The following is a 10,073-nucleotide window of genomic DNA, read 5'->3' on the forward strand; positions in this document are numbered from 1 at the left end:
AAAATATTTTTAAGCAAGGAGAGACCATAGAAGCCTAATTCAGTTCAGGGTGTTGGTATATCCCACCAGTCCAAATCAATTTGACAATTCATTTTCTACTTTGCAGTAAGTAAAAGCAAAAAGAATGATTAACTTTTGTTCAAAAAGAAACAAATGCACAACCATGAAAAGAACTTCCCCCATATATCTTTGTGGGAAAATCAAGTAACCCTTTGCTTCTCTGTCCCTCTTGGGCATAGGAAATATGCTTTTGGTGGCACTGCGCCATTTTACTTTATTGCTTATAAGGAAGAAAACAGATGGAAATTTTCTCAGGAATTCTGATTGTCCTTTTCATGGTTAAAACATGGTTTGTGGTCTATTTTTTCTCAAATATCTGTTACATATATTAAGTAAGTTCATTGTTTTAAGAATAGATTGACAAAGTCATTCAGAAAGGCTGACAATAAGAGGAAGAGCAAAGGCAACCTATACAAATGCAAACAAAAAGAAAGCAAGAATCATCCTTTTTGGTGTTTGATTTTATCTTTTTAAAAATTTGTACAAATTTCTGGGTACATGTGAAATTTCATTAGGTATGTATAATGCATAGTGATGAAGTCAGAGTACTCAGCGTGTCCATTACCCAAGTACAATACATTTTTGTTTAACTATAGTCACCCTACTCTGCTGTCACACAATGACTTTATTCCTTCTATCAATTTGTATGCTTGTATACCCTTTAACCTATTGCTCTTCATCCTTGCTCTCCGATATTCACCCTTCCTAGTCTCTGTTACCTACCTTTCCACTCTCCACCCCCATGTGATCAAATTTTTTAACTCTGACATGTAAGTGAGAACATGTGATATGTCTTTTTGTGCCTGGCTTATTTTACTTAAGATAATGACCTTCCATTCATGTTGTTTTAAATGACATGATTTCGTTCTTTTTTTTGTGGCTGAATAAAGTATTTTGTTGTGTATATATACATTTTCCTTATCCAATCATCTATTGATGGATACTTAGGTTGATTTTGCAACTTTGCTATTGTGAATAAATCTGCAATAAACATGTGAGTGTGGGTATCCCATTGATACATTGATTTTGTAGACACGAATAGTGAGATTGCTGTATCAAACGGTAATTCTACTTTTAGCTATTTTAGAAATCTTCATAGTGTTAACTACAGTGGAAGACTAGTTTACATTTCCACCAACAGTGTATAACAGTTCCCTTTTCTGTGCATCCTCACCAAGATATGTTATTTTTTTTTTGTCTTTTTAATGATAGCCATTCAGACTGGGGTAAGATGACAAGTAATGTTGAGTATTTTTTTAATACACCTGTTGGCTATTTATATGTCTTCTTTTGAGAAATGTCTCTTCATTTCCTTTGCCCACTTTTTAATGGGATTATTTTGTTGTTGTTGTTGAGGTGGTTGCATTCCTTGTATATTCTGAATATTAGTCCCCTGCTAGATGAATAGTTTGCAAATATTCCGTTCCATTCAACAGGTTGTCTGTTTACTCTGTCGAGTATTTCTTTTGCTGTGTGGAAACTTTTTAGTTTAATTAAGTTCTATTTGCCTTTTTTGTTGTTGTTGCCTGGGCTTTTGAGGTCTTAGTCATAGATTATTTGCCTAGACCAATGTCCGGGAGAGTTTTCTTCAGGTTTTCTTCTAGTGTTTTTATATTTTCATGTCTTACATTTAAGTCTTTAGCCCATTTTGAGTTTATTTTTGTGTATGGTAAGAGATAGGGGTCCAGTTTCATTCTTTGGAATGTGGCTATCCAATTTTCCTAGCATAATTTTTTGAAAAGGTGGTCCTTTTCCAAATGTAAGTTCTTGTGGGCTTTATCAAAAAGCGGTTGGCTATAAATAAGTGGATTTATTTCTATATTTGGTTCCATTGGTTTATGTGTCTATTTTTATGCTGTTTTGGTTACTATAGCCTTGCAATACATTTTGAAGTCAAATAATGTGATGCCTCTAGCTTTGTTCTTTTTGTTCAGTATTGCTTTGGCGATACAGGCTCTTTTTTGGTTCCATATGAATTTAGGATGATTTTTCTAATTCTGGGAAGAATTATGTTGATATTTTGACAAGCATTGCATTAAATCTGTAGATTGCTTTGTGCAATATGATAATTTTAATGATATTAATTCTTCATCCATAGCATGGGATATTTTTCCATTTGTTTGTGTTTCTCTCATCAGTGTTTTTAAGTTTACCTTGTAGAGATCTTTCACCTCCTTGTTTAGATTTATTACTAGGTATTTTATTTTTCTTATAGCTATTGTAAATGGGCTTTTCTTCTTGTTTTCTTTCTCAGCTAAATCATTATTAGTGTAAAAAACACACTACTGATTTCTGGTAGGTTTATTTTGTATCCTGCAACTTAACTGAATTTGTTTATCAATTCTAAGAGTTTTTTGGTAGAGTCTTTAGGTTTTTCTAAGTATAAGATTATATTATCAGCAAAGTGGGACAATGAGACTACCACTTTTCCAATTTGGATGCCCTTTATTTCTTTCTGTTGCTTGACTGCTCTGGCTAGGACTTCCAGTATTATGTTGACTAGGAGTGGTAAAAGTGGGCATCATCATCTTGTTTTAGTTCTTACAGGAAATGCTTTCAACTTTTTCTCATTCAGTACAATGTTAGCTATGGGTTTTCCATACATAGCTGCTATTAATTTGAGTTATGTTCCTTCCATGCCTAGTTTGTTGAAGGCTTTTATCTTGAAGGGATGTTTAATTTTATCAAATGCTTATTTGCATCTATTGAGGTGATCAAATGGTTTTCATCCTTCATTCTGTTGATGTAATGTATCATGTTTATTGTTTGCATATGTTGAATCATCCCTGCATCCCTGGTATAAGTCCCATTTGATTGTGGTATATTATGTTTTTGATGTGCTGTTGGATTCGATTTGGTAGTATTTTGTTAAGGATTTTTGTACATCAAGCTCTAGGTTTTCCAGTTGGTCAGTGTATAGTTGTCCATAGTAGTCTCTGATAAGTTTTGTATTTCCTTTTTTACTTCTGACTTTATTTGGCTCTTCTCTCTTCTTTTCTTGGTTAAGCTATCTAGCGGTCTATCAATTTTGTTTATCTTTCTGAAGAACCAGTTTTTTGTTTCATTTTTCCTTTGTATTGTTTGTAGTCTTTATTTCATTTAATTCTGCCTTGATCTTTATTATTTGTTTTCTTCTGCTAAATTGGATTTCATTTGTTCCTGCTTTTCTACTTCCTTGACATGAACTATTAGATTGTTAATTTGTAAACTTTCTACTTTTTTTGATGTAGGCATTTAATGCTATAAACTTCCCTCTTAGTATTACTTTTGCTGTATTCCACAGACTTTGGCATGGTATTTCTCTTTTCATTTGTCTCAAGAAATTTTTTGATTTCCATCTTCACTTCTTCATTGACCCTATGGTCATTCAGGAACATGTTGTTTAATTTCCATGTATTTGTGTAGTTTCCAAAGTTATTGGTATTAAATTTTAGTTTTATTCAATTATGGTCTGAGCAGATACTTGACATGATTTTGATTTCTAAAAATTTGTTGGGGCTTCTTTTGCAGTCTAACGTATGGTCAATCCAGGGAAATGTTCTATATCCTGATGAAAAGAAAGTATATACTGCAGTTTTTGGGTAGAATTTCTGTAAATGTCTGTTATGTCCATTTGGTCTAAAGTCCAGTTTAAATCCAATGTTTCTTTGTTTATTTTCCTTCTAGATGATCTGTCTAATCTGAGAGTAGGATGTTGAAGTCTCCTGCTATCAATGTATTTTGGTCTATCTCTGTCTTCAGATCCAGCAATATATGCTTTATACATCTGAGTGATCCATTGTTGGGTGCATATTTATTTAGAATTGTTATGTCCTCTTGCTGGATCGATCCCTTTATCATTATATAATGACCTTCTTTGTCTTTTTAATTGTTGTTGACTTAGTCTTTTTTGATCTTATATAAGTATAGCTACTCCTGCTTACTTTTGGTTTCCATTGGCATAGATTATCTTTTTCCATCCGTTTACTTTCAGTCTATATACGTCTTTATTGGGAAGTGAATTTTTTTGTAAGCAACCTATTGTTGGATCATTTTTTAAAAATCCATTCAGCCATTCTGTATCTTTTAAGCAGGGAGAATATAATTCTTTACATTTAAAGTTATAATTGATATGTGAGTCTTTGTAATTTTCACATTCTTAATTATTTTCTGGTTATTTTTTATATTCTCTATTAGTTTCTTTTTCTCTTATTGTTAGTCTTTATGATTTGGTAGATTTCTGTGGTGGTATCATTTGAATCCATTATCTTCCTCCTTTGTATGATTGCTTTACCAATGAGTTTTATACTATCATGTGTCTTCATGAAGGTAAATGTCATCCTTTCACTTCTAGGTTTAGAACTCCCGTGATCATTTCTTGTAGGCCAGTTTAGTGGTAACAAATTCCCTCAGTATTTTATTTCTCCTTCATTTAAGAAGGATAATTTTTCTAGACACAGTATTCTTGGTTGATAGGGTACCTTTTTTTCAGCACTTTGAATATATATATTATCCCATTCTCTTCCAGCCTGTTAGGTTTCTGCTGAGAAATCCACATTAATCTGTTGAGGTTTCTTTATATGTGACTAGACACTTTTAATACTTTTAGGACTCACTGTTTATCTTTGACTTCATACAATCTGACTGTAATGTACTGTGAAGAAGACCTTTTTGCATTACATCTTCCTTGGAATTGCTGAGCCTCTCATGTCTGTATATCTAAATCTCTTGCTAGACTTGGGAGTTTTCATCTATTATTTAATTAAATAAATATTCTAACCCTTTCATTCTCTCTTTTTTCTCAGGGATACCAATAATTTGACTACTTGGCTACTTTATATTGTTCCTAGGGTGAAAAAAGTTTTGCTCATTCTTTAGAATTTTTTTTCCTTTATTTTTGCCTGACAGGCTTATTTCAAAATATTTCAAGTTTCAAGATTCTTTCTTCTGCTTGATCTAGTCTATTGTTCAAGCTTTCAAATGTATTTCGTATTTCATTAAATGGATTCTTCAGTTCCAGAATTTCTAATTGTTCTTTTACAAAATATCTATCTTTTTGATAAATTTCTCATTAACATCCTGAATTGTTTTTCTGATTTCTTTGTATTGGTTTGCAGAATTCTCTCATATCGAACTAAACTTTAAAATCAGTATTTTGAATTCCTTAACTGGAATTTCATTTTGATTGGGATCTCTTGCTGGAGAATTATTGTGTTCCCTTGATGGAATCATATTTTCTTGCTTTTTCATGTTTTCTATGTTTTTACATTGATATCTGCACATCTGGTGTAACAGTTGCTTCTTTTAATTTTTTGAGATTGCTTTTTTAGTAGAAGACTTTTTCCTGAAGACAGATATATATATTAACAAAGTTGGTGGATACAGTACTTTGGCTTTGATTTTGGGTGCCTGCAGTTGTGTGATCTTCAGCTGTAAACAGGTTTAGTAGTATTCCTGATTTCCTCTTTGGCTTAGGGTGTGGTTATGAGTAGAAGCTGTGGTGAAGTTTTGCTGGGGACTAGAATGCCAGATAGACTAGTCTTTGGGCCCCAGTGGTGGAGGTAGTGGGCTGAGCATGCCTGTTTGGGGGCCCAAGAGACACTGGCACCAGTGTTAGTGAGGTGGGTCTAGAAGGTCCAATTTTGGGGCCCCCAGGTGGCTTGCTTAGATACTGGTAGTGGCAGCAGTGGACTGGGCATGTGGGTGTGTTCTTGGGCCCCTGAGCAACTGGGGTGATGGCAGTAGTTATGGTAGAGAAACCTACTGGAACCCAAGTAGTCCATCCTGGTGTTGGTAGTTGCTACAACAGATTGAGCTGGCCAGTCTTCTGGCTCACTGGTGATGCATGTGGATGAGTTCCAGCTGTGGTGGTATAGTTAGGTTGGGCCAGCCTGACCTGAGACTCCAGTAGGAGTAATCAGGTGCCAATGATGGTAGACTGGCCTGAGATGGGTAATTCCCCGAATGGCATGCTCTAGTACTGAGGGGATGCAATTGGGCTGGTAGTCTGGCTTTCAGGCCCCCTGATAGTACATTCAGGCACTGACTGTGGTAGGCAGAAGTGAGGCTGCTGGCAGAATCCTCAGATCCAGGCACTGGTGGCTGCACTGCAGTTCTGCCACCAAGGAGGACAGTGCCCCTCTCAGCTGAAACAGTGCGGGTAGGTAGCTATGGGGAGTGTGGTTTACTCATGCCTCGATCCCACAGCAGTCCACAGCAGCAGCAGTGGGATTTGTCCTTAAGGTATGTGGCAATACCTGACCTCTCCTCTCCCTTTTTGGCTTGGCAGCAACAGTGGCAATGTCAGCCTGGCTCCAGGGTAGGATTCAGACCTTCAGAGCTTAGATCCTCAGAAGGGCACCAAGCTGCAGCTGCTGTGGGCTTGGATGCTTGTGGGACTCCATATAAGTTTCTTCTCTGGAGCAATGTCTCCGTGTAGTCTCTAGGCAGCTCCCTAGGTTAGTCTCGAGGCCCACATGGGTTGAGGGGTTCTCTTGTAGTTAAGACTGTAAAACACTGGCAGGAGTGTGCAGCCCTGAGAGTTTGGTTTCTCTCTTACTCTTTCCTCACATCTGGGAGCTTCTTACTGCTTTCCCAGCTGGTCCTAGTAAAGCAAGCTGCCTTGCATCCCTCTCCTTACTTGCTTTTGGTACTTTCTGTCACTCTGTTGAATCCCAGTATTCACTCTTAGATGATCTATTCAAAGCATGGATGTCTGCTTCCTATTTTTGTTCCTCTCTGTGGAGGAGGTATCTAGTCATCCATTTTGAATCAGTCTCCAAGGATTGTCATCTTAACATCAGTCATATCTGAATTTAGAGCAAATGAATTAAATAAGACAATGGAGAAAATTTTATAGTGAGAAACATTTTGACCCACAATAAAGAACATATATATGCCAATTAGCATAACATCACATAAATTATAAGGTAAAAACTACCAGAACTACAAGGAGAAATAGATGGAAACATAGTAAACTTTTCCAGGACATGGTTGATCAAGTCATGAACATATAAATAGGATCTGAAAAAACCTATGAGTTTTGGGAGGCCAAGGTGGGTGGATCACTTGAGGTCAGAAGTTCAAGACCAGCCTGGCCAATGTGGTGAAACCCCATCTCTACTAAAAATATAAAAATTTGCTGGATGTGGTGTTGCATGCCTGTAATCCCAGCTACTTGTGAGGCTGAAGCATGAGAATCGCTTGAACCCGAGAGATGGAGTTTGGAGTGAGCTGACATCATGCCATGCACTCCAGCCTGGGTGACAGAGTGAAATCCTATCTTAAAAAAACAACAAAAAAGAACCCCCAAACCCTATGAGGTAGGGATTTATTTTTATTTACTTATTTTTCTACAGGGAGAATAAACTGTTACAGTCTATCTTTGCCTCAATGATTTTCAATGCTTACTGTGTCATAAGTCAGGTTTCCATATGTGTAGATCTGTTTCCTGGGCTCTCTGTTTTAACCTATATAAATATAAAAAGATATCCAACCTTATTAGTCATAAAAATGCAAATTAAAGTCATTTCATATTCACCAAGTTGGCAAAATTAAGAAAGCAGGTAATATCAGATGTTTACACAGATATGAAACAATAGAGATGTTCACCCATTGCTGGTGAGAACGTATACTCAAAAATATTTAGAATGGTTTGGCGTTACCTAGTAAATTTGAACTCTCTGACCCAGTAATTCAATTTCTAGGCATGTTCCTCCGAGGAACTCTTCACCATGTATACAAGGAAGCATGTAGAAGAATGTTCACAACAGCATTGTTTGTAAACTAAAAACCTGGAAACAAACCAAACAGTTGTCACTGATAGCCCAGATATGTAACTTATATTGTATTCATATAATGAAAGATACTCAACAGTGAAACTGAATTACCAATGTGGCAAAATCTCAAAAATATACCATGAGTGAAATAAGCAGTCTCTGAACAATATATAAAGTATGAATAATAGATGATTTAGAGACATATACAGAAGTAATAAAACTATAAAGAAAGGCAAGGGAATGATTAATTCAAAAATTCAAGATGATAGTTTTATCTCCAGAGTAGGTTGGGATAAGGGGGGAATGTACTCAAGGGGTTTCTAAGCTATATGGTGGGTACATTAAAAATTATTTATTCTTTAAACTGTACATATAAAACCACATCATCTTTCATATATGTTATATGTTTTGTAATAATATTTTAAACGGAAATTATACAATATAATATCATAAATACTACCTAAGAATTATTTATTAAAATGTATTATGGAAGAAAATTGGAATAATTAAATAACCAGTTGCTAAGAAAGAAAATCATGGTATGCATTGGGCATGTTAAGCCAAAAAGCAGGGAAAAAGAAGTTAAATAGCTTTGTGGTCAGGGCCAGGACACAGTATCCAAGTGATAAAACTCAGGACAACAGACTGGACCATCAGAGGACAAATGATCCCTTGGTAGTACTAACAATTCAATGGGAATTTTATTACCTAACTCTTGTGTGTATGATCTTCATGAGGAGGAACACTTATTCTTCTGAGTGTACTAATTATTAAATATCATACCTTCTTTATTCCAACACAGTTTAAAAATAAGTTATATGTCCTGTGTTTTCAGAATCATTTTCATTGGTTACATTTTTGGTTGACTGCTTTATAGAAAACCACCTTAGATTGTTCCATAAATTTTTCCAAATTGTGTCATAAAAATTAGTTTTTTCTTATATTTTCTAGAAATACTTACTTAAATCAAGCTGTGAAGAATCTTGTTTAATTTCTTTATTTACAGAAAGTGACTTTCTCAACATCCCTAAGTTTAGCCGTCTATTTTTGGTTCTCAGTTTGCAGTAAGTAATTCAGTTACGATCTATTCCTTGAGATTGCATTAAACTTACTTTGATCTACACCAGAAAAATATTTAATTGAAAGAGTGTCTTTTCAAGTTAAAAAATAAAAAGTAAACAAATCTCAATTGTTTCTCTCTCTCTCCAAAGACAGTTTAAATTGTAGTACTGAATTAGCTTTTTGCAAACAATCTGTATGCCTTAACACTGTAAATGAAGAAATGTGTTTAGTTATGCTGTTACTAGTCTACACATCAGCTTCTCTGGGGTTCTTCAATCCAGTGTCTGGAGGATGATGATATGATATAGCAGTTCTATCCCTCCCTCCTTTACTTTCCTGACCCTGATCCAAGTCATTTGCCACCAGGCTATAAATCTGACTTTACTTGTCTTCCACTGAGTTTCTGTGAAAATAGCCCAATTGTAGTGGACTAAATTTATGGGCAATAAGAGTTGCAATGATGCTGGAACCACCCTGGTGGTTCAGCCCCAGGCAAGTGTTGATTTCTCAATTTCATTCAGAAGCAGGGCACAAATGTCACCTGTATTAACTGCCAGCTTTTTAGAGCTCGTTTTCTGAATTCACTTGGTCATAGCCACTGAGCTTTCTGGGAACTTTTTTGGAATATGATGGGTAAACAACAAGGAATTGGAACCAACTCCACATTCTTATTCTGAGAAAGCCCCTCCCCTATGGCAAATATTCAAGTATGGTGGGTGGGGTGGGGAGGAGAAAGAAAGAAACAAATTGTTCAAGGAGCTCTCTACAGTTTTGAAGGAAATTACTTCAGATATTGGCAGAAATCAAGAAATCTTTATCACATTGGGTCCACATAGATACTTCCTTTTCAGTTTAGGATTCAGTCCATTTGTTTTAAGGAAGAACAGCTGATTTACTCACCAAATCTCCAGCATCTGTACTTAGCAATCTTGCAATAATCCTAGTAATATTGACATCATCAGTCTTCAAGGTCTGTAAGGGAGGTTTGAGTGAATGAAATAATATAGTGTACTCTAAAAAAATGACAGCTTTTCATTATGAATCCCTTCATTTGATGCTGAAAATATGAATAGGTGATTTTAATCCTTGGGGCTATTCACAAATGTCCTATGTGCATAGTATTTGAAAAATAATTAGTAAATTTATAGAAGTCACATGATGCTGCTGGTAGAAATTCACTCAAAAGAAATAAAT

At 35.5% G+C, this 10,073-nt stretch overlaps 1 annotated feature.

Annotated features, from left to right (window-relative positions):
• Nucleotides 6,065-6,565: an enhancer, noted in NCBI's record as "H3K27ac hESC enhancer chr8:82298809-82299309 (GRCh37/hg19 assembly coordinates)". NCBI's record gives its function as "activates a minimal SCP1, AML or CMV promoter by ChIP-STARR-seq in naive H9 embryonic stem cells {active_cell/tissue: H9 hESC(naive)}" and the evidence as "EXISTENCE:reporter gene assay evidence [ECO:0000049][PMID:30033119]".

The sequence above is a fragment of the Homo sapiens genome, chromosome 8, assembly GCF_000001405.40.
Source record: "Homo sapiens chromosome 8, GRCh38.p14 Primary Assembly".
Lineage (NCBI taxonomy): Eukaryota > Metazoa > Chordata > Mammalia > Primates > Hominidae > Homo > Homo sapiens.